Source organism: Homo sapiens, chromosome 9 (assembly GCF_000001405.40).
Source record: "Homo sapiens chromosome 9, GRCh38.p14 Primary Assembly".
Classification (NCBI taxonomy): domain Eukaryota; kingdom Metazoa; phylum Chordata; class Mammalia; order Primates; family Hominidae; genus Homo; species Homo sapiens.
In genome coordinates, this window is record NC_000009.12 from 28,559,729 (window position 1) to 28,585,945 (window position 26,217).

General features: G+C 35.0%; 1 protein-coding gene and 1 long non-coding RNA gene across 15 annotated transcripts in view; one reads left to right on the forward strand and one right to left on the reverse strand.

Moving 5' to 3' along the window:
• Positions 1–26,217, reverse strand: part of LINGO2 (leucine rich repeat and Ig domain containing 2) — a 1,275,985-nt gene that overhangs the window by 622,112 nt on the left and 627,656 nt on the right. For 3 of the 14 annotated variants that reach the window (XM_047422810.1, XM_017014303.3, XM_047422811.1), the window contains exon 4: positions 2,130–2,246. The exons of 10 other annotated variants lie outside the window; for them this stretch is intronic. The gene's annotated coding sequence lies outside the window, so the exon portion shown is untranslated. Of the gene's footprint in view, positions 1–2,129; positions 2,247–8,419; positions 8,480–26,217 lie in introns of all 14 variants that reach the window. One more of the 14 variants, XM_047422813.1, reaches the window with a different exon arrangement.
• Positions 1–26,217, forward strand: part of LOC105376004 (uncharacterized) — a 57,191-nt gene that overhangs the window by 19,990 nt on the left and 10,984 nt on the right. Inside the window, exons 3-5 of the long non-coding RNA XR_001746641.2 lie at positions 6,301–6,397; positions 17,579–17,668; positions 19,354–19,449. This is a non-coding gene — a long non-coding RNA (uncharacterized LOC105376004). The remainder of the gene's footprint in view (positions 1–6,300; positions 6,398–17,578; positions 17,669–19,353; positions 19,450–26,217) is intronic.

The following is a 26,217-nucleotide window of genomic DNA, read 5'->3' on the forward strand; positions in this document are numbered from 1 at the left end:
AAATTTTTTTTGTTCTGTACAAGATTGTCCTTTTATGTTTGCCAGTATTTAAGTTGTTTGGGGGAAATATTTATATCTCCAGGATGTTTTTCATTTCAAGAAAAGTTTAGTGTACCTCAACTGGATCTGAGGCTGGAATCTAGGAAAAACAGAGAATAATCCAGGGACTTACTTTCACCAGCTTAAAAATACTATAAAATCATCCTCTCTATTCTCCAACATCTGTACATAGAGTAGAGGAACAGCAAGGAGCACTGGGAAAAGCCTGTGTAGCCACATGCAGCCTCCTACTCAAAGCTGCCTTTGGTCTTCTTCTCTGTATCTCCCAAGTTAAGCAGCTTATATTTAGGAGGAAAAAAAAAAAAAAAAGAAAAATGAAAGATGATCTGCTCACCACTGATTACGTTACCAATACTTCTCATCTTTTGGGTACTGTGAGGATTAATAGTATGTATCTGTATAGCTGGCCCACATTGCCCAGATAATCTGGCTAAGCATTATTCTGGATGTTTCTGAAAGGGTGATTTTGGGTAAGATTACATTTAAATCAGCAGATTTGGGTAAAGTAAGTTGCTCCCCATAATGTGGGTGTGCCTCATCTAATCAGTTGAAGGATTAGGAAAAATCTGGTCTTGATCTTTCTGAACAAGAGAAATTCTTCAGGCTATCAGCCTTCAGACTTGAACTTTAGCATTAGCTCTTTCTTGGGTCTCCAGCCTGCCAACCCACTTTGCACATTTTAAACATGTCAGCCTCTATAACTGAATAAGGCAATCCTTAAGTCATCTTCTATATACGTATACACATCCTATTGATTGTCTTTTTTCTAAAGAATTATGACTAATATAAAGACTAGCAGGCATTATTTGGGTGTGATTATATATATATTTGAGTCTTTATGCCACACTGTTTGGCGTTTTTATTTTTTACAATTTTATTTATTTATATATTTTTTTGAGACAGGGTCTCACTCTGTCACCCAGGTTGGAGTGCATTGGTGCAATCTTGGCTCACTGCATCTTCCACCTCCCCAGCTCAAGCGATCCTCTCACCTCAACCTCCCAAGTAGCTGGAACCACAGGTGCACACCACCATGCTTGGCTAATTTGTGTGTGTGTGTGTTTTTGGTAGAGATGGGGTTTCTCCAAGTTGCTCAGGCTGGTCTCGAACTCCTGAGCTCAAGTGATCCACCTGCTATGGCTTCCCAAAGTGCCGGGATTACAGGTATAAGCCACCACACCTGGCCTCATTCTTCTTCTTAAACATATAAGTTTTGTGTAAAATACACAACGAAGAGGACACAGTATTGTGTTTTTCCAAACAAAATTGCCAGCTCTTCTGTTGAAATTAAAGTGGCAAGTGAGGAAAGAAGGAGGGAGGAGTACATGATACGATACTTATCAGTACCCTTATGTTTTTGTAACTCCTACCACTAATTTTCTCTTACCATATGCACTCTGCCACACTCCTTATTTCCCAGGCTCCCTTTAGAATGCCCAACCACCCTATAGAAAATGAGTACGAACTCTGAAGACATCATTGGATAGAGTTACCGTTAAAAAAAATTCACTCAATGTTATTCAGAGTCATTTTCAAAGAAACAGCTCTGGCCACTAGGAGATACGAACCTGAGTATCATAGGGAATCTGTGGATTAAAACAGATTACTTATAGTAGTAAGCAAAATAAAGTGTAGGAGAACCTCTGATAGTTACTTTTTAAATTTACCTCAGGAGATTTGTCCCTGTTTCTATAATTAGTTTATAAAGAACCTTATATTTATTTTAAATATTTTATATCTATGCTACTTATACATCAGTAATTGGTTTAATAGATTTATATATAATATAATGTGTTTATATATTATATATAAATGTATTATATATGTATAATATATATAAATTATATATAAATGTATTATATATGTATAATATATATAAATTATATATAAATGTATTATATATGTATAATATATATAAATTATATATAAATGTATTATATATAATTTTGTGTGTGTGTGTGTATATATATATATATATATATATATATATATAAAAAATATGCTACTAGAACTGAAAAAGACAGTAGAGAAGGCTGAAGGATTTAAGCTTCACACTCCTACAGACATACCTTTACACAGTGAGGATGAAGCACTGCACACAGATCTGTGGTGTACCAATATGCACTTAATGAGCACTCCAGCTCTCTGCTTTTCAATTTGTACTCGCTGAACTTCTATTTTTTAAACTGAAAACAAACAAAAACACTGTCATCCTTTTTTCTTGATGTATCTGCAATAGCCACTTTGAACTCCTCTGGTACCTTATCAAATAACCCCATACAGTGGGCAGTCTGCAGAGATTGCAGGGAACTACAAGAAGGGTCCACATAATATGGTGTGTTACAGTTACTAAAAATGCTCTGCTAATGAACCAAGCTAAGATGATTGGTCTCCTCGTTCATAGAACTTTTCAGTTTTTCAGGAAATAGAAGGTCTACTTTTTTCTGAAGAATTACAAGTAAGGAACGATGATTATTAGAGATTAGAAAGCATTGTTCTTTTTTTCCTCTATTGGTGAATTATTCTCAGTGAGCTAAGGCTTTCCTGACCGCCAGTTTCACAACTCTCCCACATAACCATCTCTAATCTCTCATGTATAAAGTCAAAATGAATGTTTTCCAAGAATTCAATATTCTTCAACAGGAAATAAGCAATGTGCATTTACTTTCAAAAAAAAAAAAAAAAAACAGAAAAAACAAAAAATTGGTCCCCATTAAGCAAATTTCACCAGGAAAGTATATGTTTCCTTCACAGAGTTATAGGAAAATAAATTTCTACAAAGCTTTCCTGTGTCATGCTAAAAGGGTTAGTGATGAGGATATAAGGTTTACAATGTTAAAGCTGCAAAGGAATGTGTCTTTATGATGAGGTGAGCCTCTTTCTGATGTTGTAAAGGTGGTTGAAATACCTCACTCTCCCATTTTTCTGACAGATTTTATATTTTAAAAGCTTTGGACAGGATAGACACAAATAGCTTTTACTGCATTTTACATATAGTTACCACATTTAATCATTACAAAAACTGTTTGAATAAAACTTATTTATTTATTTGTGTATTTATTTATTTATTTATTTTGGGATGGAGTCTCTCTCTGTCACCCAGGCTGCAGTGCAGTGGCACAATCTCGGCTCACTGCAAACTCCATCTCCCGGGTTCAAGCGATTATCCTGCCTCAGCCTCCCAAGTAGTGGGGACAACAGGCGCATGCGACCACGCCCTGCTAATTTTTGTATTTTTAGTAGAGATGGGGTTTCACCATGTTGGCCGGGCTGGTCTCAAATTCCTGACCTCAAGTGATCCACCCACCTTGGCCTCCCAAAGTGCTGGAATTATAGGCCTGAACCACATGCCTGGCCTGAATAAAACTTGTTATTTTCATTTTATAGATGAGGGAACTAACTTTCAGTGAGGTTAAATATTTTGATCAAAACCTCAGAACTAATAAAGGGAAGAGCCAGGAATTAAATCCAGATCTATCACTGTCTACTTTTTTATACTATCTCCTCTCTGGGAATATCAATAAATTAAAATCGGGTACTTACAGAATTCTCAATTGTAACGACAAATCTAGAATATCAGGGTTTCTGTACTTAGTGACCAGAAGTCATACAGCTTTCTATTTACGTCTAAGTTCAAAACATATTCTGGACAATAAAAGAATAATCCTCTCTAAAGACAAATTTTGGCAAGGAAAAATGCAGTCCAATTTGCTTGCATTATAAAAATAGAAACACATGTAATCTCAAATTAACTGTCTTTGTTTTCTGCAGTTCTATGCAAATGCAAATATGCAAAAGAACAAATGCTTGATAGAAAAAAATGTACATGTTGGCAGTTCATTATCCTTGTGTTTTTCTTAATTGATGAGTGCTTTCTCTGTTGAAACTCTTAAGATCGCTCAGATTCCCTGGCATAAGTCCTCATGAAAAATCATCTAAATGATATCTTTGTGGAGACTATGATGCTCAATCAGACATTTTGGCTAACATACTAGGCTGCTGATCTGACATTCAGTGCCCAGAATCGCGGCTGCTGAGCCAAGTAAACCACCTCCTGAGTTGTTTCTGGTCCAATCTGTGGTATCTCTGCCAACGGGTTTTCTAGATAGTTAGACCCCTCCTACCTATGCATAACAATGAGCTAGCATGCTAGCAAAGTCCCAATTTTTATAAATGTAGTGATGCATCCTACAGATACATAAAGTCACTGATAATCAGACCAATGTCTGCACATACGTGTTTAAATCAATTACAATGACAAATAGATGCTTTATGAGACCATGACTATTCAGAACCTTATTTTAGACACTTAACACATTGGTAACCATCACAGAAACAATGAAAAAGAATTGTGGGGAAAAGTAAAATAACAAAATAATTATCTTTTGCTGATTTAATATCATATGGAACAATAGTCTTTTACATAGAAAGAAAATATGATTATATTATTGAAGCATCCTGCACTTTCAAAATGTAATCAATCATTATAGGTAGTCTCCTAAGATTAGAGTCATACATAAGAAATCATAAGGAAATCTAGATCTGCAAAAGTAGATGAACCGGGAGTAGATAATTCTAAATAAACCAATTGTGCTTTTTTAAAATAAATAATCCAGTTTACTTGAGTCACTTCACCAGACTTACAGGCACCAACCCTACCTCTATCTTAGATTACAGTTACAACTAACCAAGTTCTTGTCTCCTCAACCTCCTCCAATTTGCCTTTCATACAGCAAGCAGAGGAATCTACTAAGAGCACTGTTGTAGTTGCGTTACTACCCTGCCTTAAAGCATTTATGCTCCTCCTCCTTTCACCACTGCTGTCACACATGCTGTATGCCCAAATTCTTTATCTTGAATCTTAGGGCTCCAATGTGCTTTTCAAGAATTTTCTTTTCTCTGTTTATAACATTAGACCTATGCTTGCACCAATAAACCTGCACTGTTTAATGCAATTGTTACCGGCGATGTGTGTCACTTTACACTTAAATCAGATAAAATTAAAAATTCAGTTCCTCTACTGCACTAGCCACATTTCGAGTCTTCAATAGTCACTTGTGACTAGTGGCTACGGTATTGGACAGTGCCGATTATACATCATTGCAGAGTTCTATGGCACAGCACTGCTGCATACCTGCCCTGAGGTTCTATGGTATGAAGCTGTCTGCAAGTTCTGATACATGTTATTCCCTTAAAGTAGAAATGCTCTTGCTTCCTGTACACCCCTCCAAATTTACAAACTGAAATTCCATCACCCTTCAAAGTGTAGGCTACTTTTCATATTTTCTATTCCCTCCACCCGTATATATTCCATTTAGAAATGATCTCCAACACTTCTGAAATTTTTTTGAGTTTAATTTATAATATTCACATGTAAAATCTCATACTGCTGCTTTAAACTATCAAAAAATAGGAATATATATAAGTCTCACTCTGTCGCCCAGGCTGGAGTGCAGTGGCGCCATCTCAGCTCATTACAAGCTCCGCCTCCTGGGTTCATGCCATTCTCCTGCCTCAGCCTCCCAAGTAGCTGGGACTACAGGCGCCTGCCACCACGCCCGGGTAATTTTTTGTACTTTTTAGTAGAGACGGGGTTTCACCATGTTAGCCAGGATGATCTCGATCTGACCTCGTGATACCCCTGCCTCAGCCTCCCAAAGTGCTGGGATTGTAGGCGTGAGGCATCATGCCTGATAAGGAAAAATTATTTTTATTTTTTTTTTTTTACAGACATCTAGAGACAGAGAGAAGGAGAGATCTAGGCAAAAGAATTATTTTTTTGAGACGGAGTCTCGCTCTGTCGCCCAGGCTGGAGTGCAGTGTCGCGATCTCTGCTCACTGCAAGCTCTGCCTTCCGGGTTCATGCCATTCTCCTGCCTCAGCCTCCTGAGTAGCTGGGACTACAGGCGCCCACCACCACGCCCACCTAATTTTTTTTGTATTTTTTAGTAGAGACGGGGTTTCACCATGTTAGCCAGGATGGTCTCGATCTCCTGACCTCGTGATCCACCCGCCTCGGCCTCCCAAAGTGCTGGGATTACAGGCGTGAGCCACTGTGACGAGCCCAAAAGGATTATTTTCTTGCTAACTTGGGGAAAGGTGAAAGGCTATATAGCTTTGTCTTCTCAGACACTCTTGGGGCTTTACACTCAATAGCTGTATATCTATATATCTATATCTGTATATTAAAAATATGAACATATAATCCACCATTTTGTGAAACTTTTTTTCATTTACCAGGAGAAAACTGAGGACCAGCGAAGTGGCCTGCAGAAGTAACAAACTCCTTAACAAGTGCTATGGCACCAGCTCATCAGAATGGACACTGGCTTTAATGGTATTAACTGAGTCCTAAAGGCCCTCTTCTCCTTATTTCCTGAATATTGGGAAGATCCAAAGGTTTCTGCAACAAAGGGGACAACCAAGTAAATGGTGGAGGAGGATCTTTTAGGGGCTCGTGGCTGAAGCCACTTTGTCTACCAGAATGGCACCATTTCAATATTTTGTCAATGAATATAGCTACACCTATGCTTATTAAACAAGTCTGGTGACATAATTGTCCCAAGTTCATACAGTCAGTAGAATTTGCCATCAAACAACTTTAAAACAACTTTTCAGGAATATAACTACTATGCCACATGAAATACCCACCTTCTGGGATATTGAAGCAAAAGCTTTTCAACTGCTAAATAGGCACATGATCTTTATACCATTGGTATAATGTCACGTACATTTGTGTGCAGATTACCACATCCCTGAAAACTGCTCCCTCAGATGTTGTGTATGGGGTAATTGATGCTTTAGGCCTAAAAATCTAAATAAGCTGACACTTTTATTTTCAGAAGTGCCTGCAAGGGGTGCAATTCAAAAAAATTACATTTCAACCTGGCTGATTGGCTAATAAAATGAAAGTAGTTTGTAACAAATAAACAAGTAAAGGATATGGCATGCTTTGCACTGCTTTTAACATAAATGAGTAAAATCACATCATTTCTTTCAATAAAAACATCTTGTGCCTAAAATAAAATGCCTGATGTTGATACTGAAATGGTATGCTTTCATCTAAAATATTTTTGATAGCTCGTTGTTGCCAACACTTAAAACAAAAAGTTGCTAACTTCTTTAAAGTGGCCAACTACAGTAGTGCAAAACCAATAGTTGATATGATATTATTTTTAGCCTTCATCTTCAGCTTTAAGTAATGTTCAGTAAATGCAACATTACTTCCTTATTGATATTTATCCATGACTCCACACAGAAAACAATAAACAAATAAACCTTATTCATAAGGCTGTCTATATACCAGTGGTCATTTTATAGTCAGAATTTTTTTGCATTTAAAAAGGCAGCTATTATGTTGGTGAGGATGCAGAGAAAAGGGAATGCTTATACACTGCTGGTGGCAATGCAAATTAGTTCAACTTCTGTGGAAAACAGTAGAAAATTTCTCAAAGAATTAAAAATAGAACTAACTACCATTTGACCCAGCAATACCACCATTGGCTATTTACCCAAAGGAAAAGAAATTGTTTTATCAAAAAGACACCTAGCACTCAATATGTTTATCATAGCACTAGTCACATTAGCAAAGGCACAGAATCAACCTAAGGGTCCATCAACAGTGGGCTGGATTAAACAAAAAGTGGTACATATACACTGTGAAATAATATGCAGCCATAGAAAAAAACAAAATCATGCCTTTTGCAGTAACATGGATGGAGCTACAGATCATTATCCTAAGTGAAATAACTCAGAAACAGGCAATCAAATATTACATGCTCTTACTTATAAGTGGAAGTTAAGCAATGTGTACACATGGACATAAAGATGTAAATAATAGACACTGGGGACTCCAAAAGTGAAGAGGATGGGAGAGAGGCAAGGGTTGAAAAACTACCTTTTCGGTACTATGTTCCTATTTGGGTGACGGGTTCATTAGAAGCACAAACCTCAGCATTATACAATATACTTATGGAACGAACCTGCACATGTACTTCCTGAATCTAAAATAAATAAATAAATAAATAAATAAATAAATTTATAAGGAGCTGTTAAATACTTCTAGATTCAAAGCATGGAAGGCTTTTCTTTCCTCTTCCCTCCTCATGCAGTTCTTACTCTGACTCTACTCACTGCTATTTTACAGTCAGTTCGAACAAGCAAAGCTGACTTCCCATCCCACAAAATAAAAGATTCAGCAAATCACCAGGGAGTGAGAAATTCCTATAGACCAGCCAGTGAAAACAAATAGCAGGGAACTGAAGTAGGTGTGACATCAGCAAGGTGGCAGAATAAGAGTTTTCTACTCTCATCTCCCCACAGTGAACAAATTCTGATAACCACCCATGGATGACAGTACCTTTGTGGAAGTGTGGGAGTCAGGTGGAGAAGTTCTAGTTTGCCACTGGAGCAAAAAAATCTGAAAACAGACAAAGAGAAAAAAACAAATACCATATGTTCTCACTTACAAGTGGGAGCTCACTGATGAGAACACATGGATTCTGGGAGAGGAACAACAGACACGGGGGTCTACTTGTGGGTAGAGGGTGGGGTGAGGGAGAGGATGAGAAAAAACAACTATTTGGTACTAGGCTTAGTACCTGGATGACAATCTAACCTGTACAACAAACCCCATGACACTAGTTTACCTATATTATAACAATCCCACACATGTATTGCTGAACCTAAAAGAAAGAAACATTTTTTGAAAGTTCCCAAACAGTTTCAACCCAAAGGGAACTTCACCAAGACACTTTATAATGAAATTGTCAAAAATCAAAGACAAGAGAATTTTAAAAGCAGCAAGAGAAAAAAGACTTGTCACATATAAGAAACATGCCATAAAATTATCAGCAGATTAATAACAGAAACCTTGCAGGTCAGGAGAGTGTGGAAATATATATTGAAAATGCTGAAAGAAAAAATAAAAACTTCCTCTGAAGGATGCTTTATCAGACAAACTGTCCTTCAGAAATAAAGATGGATAAAAACTTACCTAGATAAACTAAATTTGAACGAGTTCATCAAAACTAGATCTGCCTTGGAAAAAATGCTAGACTGTTCTTCAACTTAAAATGAAGGATGCTAATTAGTAATATAATAACAGAGGAAAGTATAAAACTCACGAGTAAAGGTTGGTATATATTAAAATTCAGAATACTCAACACTCCCAATAAAAAGTGGGCAAAGGACTGTAATAGAAATTTTTTCAATGAATACATATAAAGGCAACAAGTGTATGAAAACATTCTAAGTATTGCTTATCATCAGGTAAATGCAAATCAAACCGCAATGAGATATCACCTCCCATCTATTAGAATGGCTATTATCAGAAAGATGAAAAATAACAAGAGTGTTTATGTAAATGTACTGAAAAAGTAAACTTTGTACACTGTTGGTGGGAAAGTAAATTAGTACTGCCATTATAGAAAACAGTATGGAGGTTCCTGAAAAAATTAAAAATACACTTCCGTATGATCCAGCAATCCCACTTCTGGGTATACAGCCAAAGGAAATGAAATCAGTATCTTGAAGAGATAGTTGTACTCTCCTGTTCATTGTAGTGTGATTCGTAACAGCCAAGATCTAGAAATAACATAAATTCCTAGACATAAACAAATGGATAAAGAAAAGGTGATATATATATGATGGAATATTATTCAGCCTTCAACAATAGGGAAATTCCTTCATTAGTGACAACATAGATGACCTAGAGGACATTTTGTTTAACAGAGAAGCCAGACACAGAAAGACAAATATTGTATATCACTTATGCATGAAACTTGAAAAAGTCAAAATCATAGAAACAGAGTATAATGATGGTTACCAGGGGCTGGGGGGTAGAACAAATGGGGGGATATTGGTCAAAGGGTACAAACTTTCAGTTACGAAATGAATAATTTCAGGAGATCTAACATACAGCATGGTTACTATAGTTAACAATATCTATGATAATTGTATAAATAAAATTTATTAAGAGTATATCTACTATCTGAAGTATTCTCACCAGACAAAAAAGGTAACTATGTGAGGTAACAGCTAAGTCAATAAGCTTGATTGTGGTAATCATTTCACAATATATGCATGTATTTAATAATCAACATTGTATACCTTAAATATTTATAATTTTTATTTGGCAAAAAATAAAGCTGGAAAAAAGACATAAATACAATAATAAACATAAAATTGAAGTAGTGATCAACATTTTCAAACAATAAAGAAAATAGAAAACAGCAGTGATAGTTAATAAACTGACGGGAAGGGTGAAGATTAACCAAGGGAAGGCTACATATTCAGAGAAAACAAATATTTTTAAAACAGACATATGTGGCCAAAAAATTCTAAATATTTTGATAGTTCCTGTGGGCATCACTGACATATAGTACAACATAATGATAGATACAATGTCATATAATAATTGACATTACTTACTTACCATTTCTCATAACTGAACAAACAGGAAATGGTTTAGATAATTTCTACCACGTCACGGCTATTATGAAAGTTTGTCTATATGACATGTTAACATTTGTTTTTCTCAAATATATTAATAAAGAATTGGACATTGCAACCCATACATTAGTATTAAATAGAGCTACAGTATGAGAAAGAACAAAGCATTCAGGAACAAAGATGGATTAAAAAAATTAAAGGAGAGTTTTCTTCTCCTTTATCTGTCTATGCGATAAAAAAATTTTACTTGGGGGAAATTTATTTTGGTATTTTAAATTTTCTTTCTGGATATTTGTTTGTTAGTTTTCAAGTACTATCAGAAGCATATAACTTTTAAGAATAAAGCCAAGGTCACTGAAACAGTTTGCAAAAAAAAAAACACCGTGTGATTGACTATCTACTTGGGGAGCAGCATCTGTTTTTGTTGTGGGAATTCTCTGCCTTGCACATAACTACAAAACTCTATCTACTACCCATGTCTTTTTTGGATTTAGCATTAACAATTGGTCAAACAGTAGAACAAAAATTTTAAAACACTCTTCAGTTGTTTTTCACCCCATAAATCCAGACTTTCTTCTCTATTGTGCTATTTCTCAGAAAGGTTGCATAGGTTACTTCTAAGTAGACATGCATTGTATTCACTATCAAGTAGCCTACAATGTGCTTAAAAACATCCACACTTTTAAATTGTAACAACAAATCAAGAAAAAACTTCTACTGATATTCAACTGAAAAAAAAAGAATAAGAAAAATAAATTTAAAATGAGAAAGTAAACAGGAAAAAATTACAGATTCCTAAATCAAGAAAAATCAGAATGTATCATTAAAACGTTAGAAGAATAAAGGAGATGAGATCCATGATGTAGACTGAGCAGCTTAGAAGAAAGAAGCTGAATAAATCTAAGGTATCTTAAAAAAATACTTTCATGGCTGCTTATGACTTGGAATATTTTCTTCTTGGCTGGGGGAAAATGCATTTTTAAAGCCTTATATGTAAACCAGAACAGTCAATTTCCTAAGAACTACTGATAGAAAATAAAAGTATAAGTAGTCTTTCAGAGGCTTGTACTTCTAAAGTAAAGAGCTTGTAAGTTTAGTAACATATACATGTTTAATTACTGGTATTCCATATGCAGGGTTGGCTGCTATTACTAAAACACTCTGTACAGAGATTTGCTAAGATGAAAGCACACATAATAATTATCGTTATCACATGCTGAGTGCCCTCTTACACCACACTTCACAGACATTCTCTCTAATTCATAAAACAATCCTGTAAAATAGGAATTATCATTAGTCCCATTATATAAATTAAGAAACTGAGACTCAGAGAAGTTAAATAACTTGCATATGATTATGCAGTTAAGTGATGGATTGAAGATTTAAATCCACTTCTTTTGTATGGCTTTTAATACTTGACTCCATATGAATTGGTTTTTTGCATAGGCAGACATTTTAAAATGTCCTAGTTTATTTACTATGGGCTTACCTCATCATCATTCATAAAATATTTTTAACTGTCTATTTTTTAATGGACATTGTTCTATATGTTGAGAATACAGCAGCAATTAAGACAATGTTCCGAACATCATGGACCAGAAAATTAGCTATTACTCACAGAGGAACAGATCGGCAAATTGACCAGGGTCAGCTAATTTGTTCCCAAACTTTGTTTTATTTTTAACTTTTTGCTTTGGGCAGGAAACTATAAGATAGAGTATAACATGAGGCTTCAGCATGCAGGATTGCCATAACCACAGTGGTCCTCACATGTGACTTGAAAATTACATGAAAAATATGAATGATAGACTGACTCTACACCGTGCTGTCACCTGGATATAAACTCTGTTCTTGGCATGTAAGTCCCTCCTTCAGCCCTGACATTTCTCCAGGAAATTCTTTTTTTCTCCAGATTTATGATGCTGTGTTCTCTCTTCCCCTCTTCATAACTCTTAAATTCCACAAGGCAACTATCTAATTAATTCATATTTTATAACACAAATGACTTAACACTATCCTTGGATTATATCTCTCTGGACAGTACTTATTTTATCAAATGGAATTGATTTATAATGGATTGGATTTAGAGATAACATATTGAGGCATGAAGATTTCCTATCTCCTTTATTCTGCTTAGATACGACTGGCATGTACAAAGTTACTCTTCCATAGCTAACTTTCAAGAAAGGCAGGGTCACACCACTTGAGAACATCCAATACTTGACATTATTTTTTGAAATCCAGTACAAACTGATCTGTGAAGCATAACAACAAGGCCGCTCTTCATGGTCTGCTCTTGTCCTAAAGCACAAGCAATTGGTGTGATGACCTCAATAAGTTATATAAAATCCACCTGCAGCCAGAAAAATTTGAAATTGAAGGATTTAAGGGGAAATGGAGACATCTTCCTTTCAGCGCTCTTGAATAGCAAAATGTCCCGTGATTCATTCATCCTTTTATGTGAAGGGGTCTGACAGTGACTTTAGTCCAACAGCTTCCAGACAACTACTCCGCGTATATTAGACTCATATCTGAATACTTAGTGCAATAATTGAATTCCAATAACCTCTGCAAGCTAAATATATTGCCTTTATTCAAGGAACACTAGAAATTCACTGTAACAGTGCCCTTTGGAGTTCATAATTTGAGATGTCCTTCAAAGTAAGATTGCTTTATAAAGATGCCATTTTACTGCCTAAGTAACTAAACCTTCCTGGCCATGAACCAAGACAGAGTCATGGCATTTAATCTTATTATGCATATTCCACAGCTTCATATACACAAAGGTGTATTCTGTGGCAAGTTTTTCAATATCTATTGGCAAAATATTTGCAGAAATTTATTTTTCTATTTCTAGGAACTAACTGGATTGATTCTGTTTCAAGTGAAAGAACCAAGGACACACAGTAAAAGCTGAAGGCAATCTTGAATTTGAAATTAAATCTGAACTTTATGTCAGTCACATAAGTAAAGAGAAGGTTTCAGCAATTATTTAATACACTTATCCGGTTCAGAAAATAATCCAGATTATTGAAGTATACATGAAATTTCCTTCAGCTTTGCTATTTTTTCTGTACCAAGTGAAATCTTTACATGTATACACTAATTGCATATTTAATTATAATTCCACTTCATCTTAGCAACTTTAAATTAAATGCAAAGACCCTAAAGTTGGCTACAGAGTAGAGCTGTGCCACCTCAAAACTCCATTCAACCACACAATAAATTCCTGTAATTATGTTTTTAATTAAACAAAAATTCCCTGAATTTTACAGGAATCTGTCAACATTCACATCAAAATGTACTGCAGGAACATGACTATTTTCCCGAACACTATATAGTATTAAATGTCATAGGCCTTATACTTTCAAGTCTTTTTGTCACATTACAGTTTTCTGCTAGGAGCTAAAATGGTATATGAGCTGGTTTTATAGCCAGAAATAGTCGTGGCAAGGTTATATTTTTTGATATTTTATTATTTGTTGTTCTCAAGAGTAATAAGCAATTCCTACTTATATTTGGGAAGTCAGAAAACAGATGAACCACTTACCTGACAAATTAAATGTGAAAATAAAGAATAGACTGCAAATCTTTTAAACACTCATATTTTGATGTTAAAATATTGCATAAACAACAACTTTTCATTAAAAAACAAGAAATGCACAGTATAGAAGAAAAACTAAGAAAAAAGATTAAATTTAGATGAGAGGCAGTCAGCTATAATATCCAAATTTCTAAATTTTAAAAAATGACAATATAAAAATTAAACTGGCTATCTTCACATTAACAATGGCTCCCATGATTCACTGATACTTGATGAAATACTGATCTTTATATACAAATCAGACATCGAAAGAATGTAATGTAACTTTCACTACAGACTTCTAAGCCTAATCTATGAGTATGAATGTGTGCTTGTTAGCATGTGAGTGTGTGTGAGAAACTGAAAAATAGTTACTAAGACTCAACTGTGGATGCACTTCAAAGCACCTACTCCCCAAAATTGTGTGTTAAATTTAACATTTGCAATAATTGAATTCCAGTAACACCTTTGGATCTGAAAACAGGTAAACAGTTTTCATCAGATCCTGAAGGGAATTTGTCACCCACCCAAAGTGTTAGAAACCACTTCAAATCTCAGCCATTTGTTTCCATACAGTCACTGTTTAGTGTGTCATTCCATCTTGTAAGAGAGCTACTAGTCTTGCAGGTTGAGATCTAATGTTGTCTATGACACTAATGTTGTTTTGTGCTTCCACAGTAGCTGCTCTTTATGTTTTTAGTACATAGTTATTGAAGCCAAAACTGATGGTGCAGGGGAGAACTGGATGAAAGAGCACATTTCCGGGAGATTACTATGAAGAGGACTCTATATTTTTTCCATTATTATTATTTTTTTCAGGTGAATATTTGAAAGCTATTCACTGTAACCCCGCATTCACAGATTTTAAGATTTTAGGAAATGGTAACACAAATTCTCAGAATGTTCCCTGAGAAATATCTGAAATCAATCTGCACAAGGAATCAAAACATCCAAATTCAAATCCCAGCTTCATCTCTAGTTGAGGGACATAAGGCAATTCACTCAACATTCTGGGCTTCTCACTCTCATTTTAAAAAGAAAGTGGTTTGTTCCATGATCTTTAAACCCTGTTTTTCAAATTTAAAATGCATTGCAGTACTATTCACAATAGCAAAGTCAGGGAATCAAGCTAGATGCTCATCAATGGTGGACTGGATAAAGAAATGTGATACAAATACATGATGGAATACTACTATGCAGCTTTTAAAAGAACAAAATTATGTCCTTTGCAATAACCTGGATGCAGCTGGAGAACATAATCCTTCATGAACCGATGCAGAAATAAAAATCAAACACCAGGCCAGGCGTGGTGGCTCACGCCTGTAATCCCAGCACTTTGGGAGGCCGAGGCAGGTGGATCATGAGGTCACGAGTTCAAGACCAGCCTGGCCAAGATGGTGAAACCCCATCTCTAAGAATACAAAAATTAGCCTGCGCAGTGGCGGGCGCCTGTAATCCCAGCTACTTGGGGAGGCTGAGGCAGGAGAATTGCTTGAACCTCGGCGGCAGAGGTTGCAGTGAGCCAAGATTGTGCCACTGCACTCCAGCCCGGGTGACAGACAGACTCCGTCTCAAAAAAAAAAACAACAAAAAAAACAAAAAACAACACAAAAAAAACCACGTTTTCACTCATAAGAGGGAGCTAAAAATTGAGTACACATGGACATAAAGATGAGAACATAAACACTGAGTACACACAGACATAGACACTGGGGAGTTTCGAAGAGAGGAGGTGGGGGCAAGGGTTGAAAAACTAACTTTTGTATACTATGCCCGCTACCTGGGTGACAGGACCACTCATACACCAGACCTCAGCAATATACAATTTACCCATATAACAAACCTGCATACACAATACACCTGAAACTAAAATAAAAATTGAAAAAACAATTACAGAAATCTTAAGAATACAAATACGTCTTATTTTGGATAGATAAGATAGGAAACTACATTTTTAGAATTATCTTCTGTACCATTTGCATGGAACATCCCAGGTCTCCTAACACACATTAATTTGGATGAAGCATTTTGTATATATTATAAAATTAATGACTAAAACACACTAAAATGAAAGAGTATATAATTATCCTCTTAGCCTTGAAATACACACACACACACACACACACACATACATATCCCCCCACACAGGGACAGACATAGACATGCAGATCCTCCTCTACTTACAATGGGGTTATGTACTGATAAATCGATTGTAAGTTGAAAATATTGTAAGTCAAAATAGATTAAATACACCTGAACTCCCAAACATCAAAGCTTAGCTTAGCCTACCTTAAATGTGCTTAGAACACTTATATTAGCCTACATTTGGGCAAAATCATTTGGCAACACTGTACGCTCATAGAGTCTCAATTATTCACCCTTGTGATTGCATGGCTGACCGGAAGCTGCAGCTTGCTAATGCCGCACAGCATCACAAAAGAATGTTCAACTACGTATCATTAGACAGAGGAAAGATCAAAATTCAAAAATTTGAAGTATAGTTTCTGCTAAATGCATTATCACTTTTGCACCATGGTAAACTAAAAAAATCACAAATAGAACCTTCATAAGCCAAGGATTGCGTGTGTGTGTGTGCGTATTCTTCAAGCGCATAACATAAATACTAATTTACAAGTAATGTAATTTTGAATAAAGATCATGTACAAAACAAACTAATGAAAGCTTTGCCATTATGCAGATATTCCGGAATAACTGAATGCAGATATTACTTAAATAATCAGACACAAAATTAGGGTATAACTTGAGAATAATTCTTATGATAATTAATAATAGTCATACATTCCCATAGTTTTTAGGATTTTTTTGAAGCATTGTCACATACATCATTGTTTAAAACATCACAAGAATACTTCATAGTAGATATTGCTATTTTTTTCCATAGGTTATTGGGGTGCAAGAGGTACTTGATTACATGAGTATGTTCTTCAGTTGGGATCTGTGAGATTTTGGTGTACCCTTAACAGATAAGAAAAATAAGCATAAATTCTTTTCAAATGATATTTCAAGCTCACCCAAAATAGTAGAGTTAAGATAAGAAGTGGAGTCCCATGACTTCTTCTAATATTTAAGAACTGCAAAATTTTTTAAATCGCTTTTGCAAAAATTGTAACAGTGAGAAAATTATGATGGTGACAGAGATCTGACTTAAACAACTCCATCTTGCCTTTAACCCCCAAACTGCCCCTGGTCATTCCTGGGCTTGGGCCAAGCTAACTTTGGGAGAATTTCAGTTTATAGTTTAAATTTTAATAGCCTTTCCCCAAATTAAATTGCCTTTATAAAATAAAACGCCACAAATTTAGGGTTATGAGACGGGCCTGAATTTTGCTAAAATGTAGGAGTATTTAAATGATTATTAGCTCTTGTTCCAGAGGTCATAAGATTTGTAACGTCCCTAGTCACTCCTTTAAGTAACATCACTATTATAGAATCTAAGATTGATCTTTTGAGTTGTCTTTTCAGACTTTTGCATTTCTGAAACCAGATGACTTCACTGGATGACTCCACTGAGACCCAAGACTCAAGACCCGACCAGTCCTGTGGCCCTCACGTGTAAGTGGATTCAGCCCACGAGTACCATTTTCCACACCCTTATGATTGCATTCCCCAACCAATCAGCAGCAACCATTCCCTAACCCACTGTCCACAACACTATCTTTAAAAAACCCTAGCATTCAAATTTGCATGGAGGCTAATTTGAATAATAAACTCCAGTCTCCCATTTAGCAGGCTCTATGTGTATTGAATTCTTTCTCTATTGCAATTCCCCTGTCTTGATAAATTGGTTCTATCTGGGCAGCAGGCAAGATGAAACTTTTGGGTGGTTATATTTTCATGATTAGAAGATCTTGCACACAGATAAACAGCAAAATTTCAAGTCAAGATAAAATAGGTGCAATACGCATTCATTTCTTCAAAGTGAAACTGTATAAATAAATGCCAAGTAGCACAAGGCAATATGGAGCCAATGATTATCAAGTTTTTATTCTTGAGGAATTAATAATCTTACTGGGAAGACAAACTGTGAGCAGATTTTCACCCAGCAGCTATGGGAACACAAAGAAATGGAAGCTTTTTCTGAATGGAAAATCTGATTCAGGCTTCCTAGAGAAAGTGACAGCATATGGGAGAAACAAAGGCTCTCTTCTGATGATGGAGAAAAAGGAATTCCTGGCAGTAGAAATAGCAGGCAATGGTGCAGGAAAGTACTTTGGGGCAGAGTACATTCAGAAGGTGCTGAAACTTTGATGTAGCTATAATGAGATATTAATGGAAGGTAATGATGCAAGATGGGGCTTAAAAGGGTAATTTATACATGATGAAGAAGGGTCTTGCTGCCAGGCTAAGGGTTTTAAACCACATTCCAAAGGGGAAGAGTGCCAAAAGCATAAAGACTAATTCTGAAATGGCTCTAGACTGCTGCATGGAGTTGAGGTGGGGAGGTGGGTAATGGGGTGGCAGATCCAGATTCAGATTGCCTGTGTGTCTCAGCAGCTGTCATTCATTCTCTAGCCAGATTTAGGTAACAGATTAAATTTATCCAATTAATCTTTGCCTGTAGATTTTTAAATTTCAGACTATGCGCATTGTGCAATAGCTTCATAAAGATTAACAATTATTTAATGATATTATAGAAAGTTCTTTATTTTATACTGTATAATTATTAATTATTAATCAGAAATAAGACGTCTCTTACAAGACTCAATTTATAACATGGTAGTTTGTGTTACCAGGAAAAACAGTTTCCTTGCTGTTAAACAAGTCCATGTTTCTAATTTTAACTTAAATTAGAAAAATATCCTTCTTTTATTGGTCATTATAGTTATAAATTCTGCTAAAACCAACCACTTCACTCTACGTACAAAGATCAAGCTTTGCCTTCCCTAGGTTTTTGGTGAATGCTAATTAACATTCCTCAGTATAACCTTAACTGTGACTTGCTAGTTAGCCCTGAAGGACAACATTCTATTTTAAGAAAAATATGTATAAATTCATGGTTGGTTTAAATGCAGATGTAGCCTGTTCTTGAAAGTTAGTAAAATAGGTTAAGCTTAGGTTGTTACCCCAGTCATGGTATTGCACTAAAAACTCCAGGGATGCCATCACATAAATGCATGGTAGAAATAATGGATTTAAGATAAGATAGAATAAAGATCGTAAGATTTATTTTTGTAAGATGTAATTATTTGAAAATCAATATTTAAATCATAAGAGCTCTTTTTTTTTTGTTTCTACAGCTACACAGTATGTGTGAGGTTCAATCTGACTATCCATCCTTTATGGAAATGCTACATTACACATTAACTCAAAGGCTGAGAATCCATTAAGTCAAGGTGAGAATCCTGAGAATTAGCATCATCAATTGTGAGTTTTCTTTTCCCTTATTCTAGGCCTCCACGTGAGGCTTTCACTATTGTCCTTAGTCTCTTAGCCCATGATAAAAATATATATTTTATAGGAATGGTTTAAGGAGATGCCTTTCTGAGGGAGGGGTAATGACAGAAAAGTACATCCATTTTTTATTAGTATTAAGGAAACCGTATTGGTCATTCATCACTGACAAAACAATACTTTGTTGCTGGCTGTCTATTATACTAAACTGTGAATCCATGAAAATAAATTTCTGAAAATAATAAAAAACATATAAAAGTCAAATTTGAGCAGTGATGGAAGTAGGGTGGAAGTACAATTTAGCAAGAGTCTGAAGATTTTTAATAATTGTGTTATTTTGCATGAAATATTATATGATTTTGCTCAAGCCACTGGCTTAATATATTTTAATGAATCAAATAATGACAAAAACATAAGGGCTGCCAAACTGAGAGGCAATATATAACAATAAAATTAGTGGATCTGGCTCTTCACTGTTGGCTATATTCTAGGCCCATTTCAACATTCAGATTTAGCTGAATTATTTGGATTCCCTAATATTCCTTTTCCAGAAATAATGATGAATTGGCTTAGGGGAGATAAGAAGAATGGTATAGCGGGAGAACAACAGTCAAGAATCACCATTCATACTCCTGTCAAGAATCAATCAGTTTTCTTAGCTAGAGAGGGAAGCACGAGAGCACATTACATATTTGATCATGCATTACCCAAAAACCATTTGTGAAGTTGGGCAGGCTGTCAACATTACTCAAATGCACTTTGGGCTTTTCGAGCTCAACTTTTATTAGATGGATGTACATGTGAAAATCCATGGCTTTAATTGCTATAGCAAAAGAAGCAGTGCAGAATGTGTGTATGTCTTTGAGCCACAGGAATAGAATCCTCTTCAAACCTTGTTTCTTCACTGGTATGTCCCTAGTAATTGGAGAGATGGGTCTTGGGCTAGGCTAGGTGGAATATCATATACCAGTACAGAATGCAATCCTTCAAACATTAGGACAGCTAATGTATAAATCCAAAACTTGTATAATTTTAGTGTCATTAGCTATAAGAAAAAGCCACTCTCTTTACAATTGTCCAGCAGATAACACATCAACAAAACATCATGAAACTGGCCCCAGCACAGTGGTTTTAAGGCAAAACACTTAAAGTTACCTTTCAGCAATGTCACAACTTGAAAAATACACGCGATTCTCTGGTACGAATCACCCTTGCCCATCCCCCTCCCTCCCACTGAATAAATATAGTACAAATCAGAGATCTCTATGGAAGGATCATGCTGATTAATCTATTTCAGCTCTTGACCACTTGCTGTTTTTGGTATAAAAATCACTTCTACTGTGGGGAAAAAAGTGACACATTAACTGTAGAAATGGAATGTTGTATGGTTATACTGTCTGCTAAATGCACTGCTAAATCCACTGAGACGCACAGCATGGTTAAGGGCACCAGCACTTTGGCATTCAAACAGTCCTTTATTGAAGGATACAGGATAAGATATATTTATAATACTCTGTAGATCAACTTTCACCAAGCTCTGAGCAGCAATAAAGGAAAACAAATAGGGATTTTGAGGAACAAACTGAGCCACGACTCACTTTGACACTCCAAATACTGGTATTTTTCACTTAGCAGTAGTGGGTAAGTATTTTCCTGGAGTGACAGTTGAACCTTTAAAAAAATAAACATTTTTTCACTGTAAACAAAATAAATTCTGGCTGCTCCCTAGTCACTTTAAACAGATGAATAAATCAATTCAGTGGGTGCATAGGGAGAGAAACGACAGTAACATAGTTTCTCCCTTCTTAAAAACTGGAAGAAGATATATTGAAGGTGATGCTATCTAACCAGTAGTGGGTAAGAAGGAAGAAATTCAGGCTGTTGACATTTTCTGGTAAGATCTTGTAATGAACTTTAGATGTTTTGCTATTTTGTTGGTTAGAGTCCATCTAATATATTCCTAGAAGTTTCTTACAGTAAGAAAACATTGTGTGCATTTGTGTGCCTCTGTGTGTGTGTGTGTGTTTAATGCCCAACAACTGCATCTCTCACAGCTAAATTTCATTATGGGAGCCAAACCAGCCTCCCAAAGGTAAAAATTTATAGGAGAAACTTGAATACCTGCAGTTACACAATGACTGACTGCACTGTTTCAGCTTTTTCTAAGTGTATAGAAACTTTTAAAAATCAAATCATCCACTATGATGATTTGATTTTTTTAAAAAGGAAAATCCAAAGGTCTAAACCCAAGATTCATGTAAATAATATAGTAAATTGTGATATATATATAGAATATATATATAGAAAGCAACATACAGATAAGTCTGAAAGGAAAACTTACCCATGATCAGTTTAATAATATGTCAATTATTTATGTCATTTCTCATATAAATGCCTTATATGTTCAAAAATAGATTCTTGTGAATAGATGCTGATTATAATGTAAATATACATAAACACACACACAAGAATGCATCTATTCTGCTGAGATATATTTAAAGGTTTCTTGTAATTTCAACTGATCAATGGTTTTCCTTCTTCTGAATATTAAATAATTTTCTAATGTAAAGTTACTTCTGAAAATTAATTTTCATAATTCATATTTATTTTAGAAATGTTAAAGAAGCATTCATTATAAGTGTGATATCATCACTGTGCTACTTTTCACTATTTTATTTTTTATTAATGTTAGTCTAATTTTTAATCTCTCAATTACACAATGATAAACACATGAACATTATCTTCATATTGGCCCTGTTACTAAGGCTTCCAGACACTCTATGTTTGTGAGACATGTTCTGTATTTAATGATTCTGTCCTAAGTCCTATATTGAGCTCATCAGGCTACCTTAAATATCCTATATTCTGCTTTTTATTGATAAATTATTTTAAAATGGCTATTTCTCAAGGTGCTTAAATGACTTTGATGAAAACACAAGCTGAAAATCATGCTTCCACAAGTAAATATCTGGATAATTCCTTATGGTCTCTCTAGTAGTTTGAGAGAAAATCAAAAAGGAGGATTGAGAATTAAAAGTGTTTTTCATATTCGAGAAAGAAAAAGATTATTGTTTGACCAAAGACTCAAATCTGAGATAACTTCTAATCAGTTCGCAAGCTGTAAAATTCAGTCAATCAGGACAGTCTCACTCCAGTGGCCATGCTTCTGAAAATCAGTCATTCAACAATGGCATCACTCCAGTAACCGTGCTTCTGAAAGTTAGCAAGTTAGTAAAAATCTCAACCTTCTGAAACTCAACCTACCAGTGACAGCCACATGCTTCTACACAAGAGCTGATCAGCAAAGGTCTCACTCCGGTGACCAGGCTTCTGAGATCCAGCCATCAATAAGAGCTTTAATCCAGTGACCACTCTAACATAGCTAAAGTCCATTAATCTCTAAATACTCCTGCTTCTGAAAATCCATCAATTCTTGAACAGCAGACTTCCAAAAACTTCATATATCAGTTCTGGGTTCACTAGGGAAGATTTTGCCTTACAAACGCAGCTCTCCTTTACAGTCAATGAAAAGTTTGCATTAGCTGTCAAGTTAAATTATTATTACTTCAAACATTTGCGAACCTTTTTATGGTTGAACCTTGTTTATGGTTAGTTTTGAATTGGACTTGTGAGTGAAAAACATACCGATGCTTTGACTTGAGATTATCATGTTTAATCTTTTTAACTCCTCTAGTTGTTAGTATTATCTTTTTTTAATTTGTGTATATGTGTATACACAAATTATACACAGTATAATTCTGTGATAAATTTTTGGAACAGAGGACAATCATTAAATGAGGGAAAAATGCTTTTGAAGTTATTTGTTCAGGGTACAATTGTTCAGTCAATATAAAAAATGCTGAAAAGATGAAATAGCACAGAATATAGCTAAGGAAAAGAGATATATAATTTTCTCAACTAGTACCAAAGAAAAGTGATTAATATTAAAACTCAGAAGATAAAATAATTACAGCAGAAGTTGTAATGGCTGTCCACTATTTATATCATTAGTTTCATAGCTCCAATGACTGAACATATTGCTGTTATAAGCATTTTCTGATTCCAAAATTGCAAATTTTCAAGTGTCAAAATGAAATTGATTGCAAAAATTTTTTAAATGAAAAAGTTCCATTTACTATTATAGAGATTATAAAAATCTAAATGTCTCATCTTTTTCATAACGTAGCCACAATGCAAGTTATCATACTTCAGAAAAACATTTCCCTTTGATTGTGTAATATTGTTTTCATGAAAAGGCTTGCTTAGCCATAAGGCTACTGTAAGCAAAACTGTTTCTGATAAAACTTCAGAAATAATAGCAATTTTTTCAGAAATGCTCTTATTCAAATTGAAGTTAATAAAGAAAAAAATTTTTCTTTTATGAATTGATGGACATACTACAAATAAACATTTTGGTGGATATTTATCTGAAGGTACAAACAATATTTATTAAATGATTAAGCAAAATATGAATGATTCTATAAAAGATGTTGGCTGTTCTGCCCATATTCTACATAATGCTGCTAAAACAGTAGTTGATGCTGACATGGTTTGAAAACATCCCCCAAAGTTCATGTTTTTGAAACTTAATCCCCAATGCAGCAGTATCAAAAGTTTTAAATAACTTTAAAAGGTTATTAGGTCATGAAGGTTCTTCCCTATTGAATGGATTAACATCATTATCAATCACACATTGGTGAGAGATCATGGAAGTGGGCTCTTGATAGAAAGGATGGATTTGGCCAGATTTCAATTCTTTCTAGTACACCCATGTGCCTTCCACCAGGGGATGCTCCTTGCCAGATTCCATTGCCATGCTGTTGGACTTCCCAGTCTCCAGAACCATGAGTCAGATAAGTTTCTATTATTTACATAAATTACCCCATTTTTGGTGTTTTGTTACAGTAGCGAAAAACAGATTTAGACACATGCCCTTCTCATTCACACTGAAGTAATTTTGATAAACTTTTTTCTTACTTTAGTATTTATACTGTTCACACTGAGCAATTAAAATATTTTTGTTATTCTGTTTACATTCAGTATTGTTCAATTCTTTCACATTCAAAAACCTGTTGGCTCTCTTTAACAAATGTACTTGAGAGCATCTCATTTTATTTGAAGCACTAAAATCATACTTTAATTCTAAACAAAAATGCCCCCCAAATTCCTATTAACACTTTGTATAATCCATTGAGCAAAACCTAATTATTTCATGTTCATAGTTCACAATATCTCTTTAGCACATTAAAAGAAGAGCGGTGTTATTGCAGTACTCTTGCTTAAAATAACTTGTTGAATATAGTAAGGAATTGACCAAAAAAAAATTATCCCTGTGTCGAAATAAATACACTATTACTTATAAACAGGAAAAGAAATTCCAAATTGAAATGGATAATTATTAAGGCTCCTGCGATGACTAATTCTTATAATAGATTTTATCACTTGAATAATTCAATTTTTTACATGGTTGTTATTAAATAATCACTAGCTTGAGAACATGCAGAGTCATCATTTATACTGTTGAAGAGAGATCAGAAAGAAAATTAAAATTCATGAGAATGCTATTATTTTGTCACTAAGTTTAACATATTTTTTCATTAATGAATGCTTAATGGACAAAATAACTAAATAAGGCTGATGTGACTACTGTACAGTTGTGTTGCAATGTAAATGTAATATAGACTGTGACTGCAAGAGATTTTTTTTTTTTTTTTTTTTTTGAGACGGAGTCTCGCTCTGTCGCCCAGGCTGGAGTGCAGTGGCGCGATCTCGGCTCACGACTGCAAGAGATTTTAAAACAAATTTTGTAAATCATGGAACTGTTAAAAAGAGGCGAGTCATCACAGAAGTATAATCAAGGAAAGAGACACGTAATTTAGATACTCATAATTCGTTTCATGTAAATGACAATAGTGTTTTTTATTATTTGTATATCCCAGACAACATTTTTAAAATCTCAGTGTATGTATTCACAGGTAATTGGAAATCATTCTGTTTTAACTGGGCATCTTGTATTCTATTTGATAAATCTGACAACCCTAAGGAGCATGACCAATTTGGAAACATTTTAGTGTTGTTTCTTGGACTGTGGCTCCTTAGACTGAGGGTATGGTATAATTCAAGTCCCAGGACTGCTGAGAGGAGAGCTATGGATACCAATTATTAGGGAAGATTATTAATCCAGACAGTCCCTAACTTAAAATGGTTCAACTTAGGATTTTTTGAAGTTATAATGGTGGGAAAGCTATGGGCATTCAGTAGAAACCATACTTCAGTACAGTATTAAGTAAATTATATAAGATATTCAACACTTTATAAAATAGGTCTTGTATGGGATGATTTTGCCCAACTGTAGGCTGACGTAAGTGTTCTGGGCATGTTTAAGCTATTAGGCTAAGGTATGATGTCCACAAGTTAGCTGTATTAAATGCATTTTTTACTTACAATATTTTCAGTTTAGGATGAGTTGATCAGGAATTAACCTCGTCGTAAGTTGAGAAGCATTGATATTAAGAATACTAAGTTCTTCCCAACAAGTTCCAACAGAGATGGGATCTGTTCTTATTTTTGTTGTTGGTTCACTTGGTAAGAATTTCCCCTTCAAGATTGTCATTGTTGAGCACCTGATTTAATATGTTTGGGGAATCATCTCAGTTGTGGCTCTCCCACTAGTCGAGTTCAGATCCTGTTCCACAGTGGCACTAATGGCC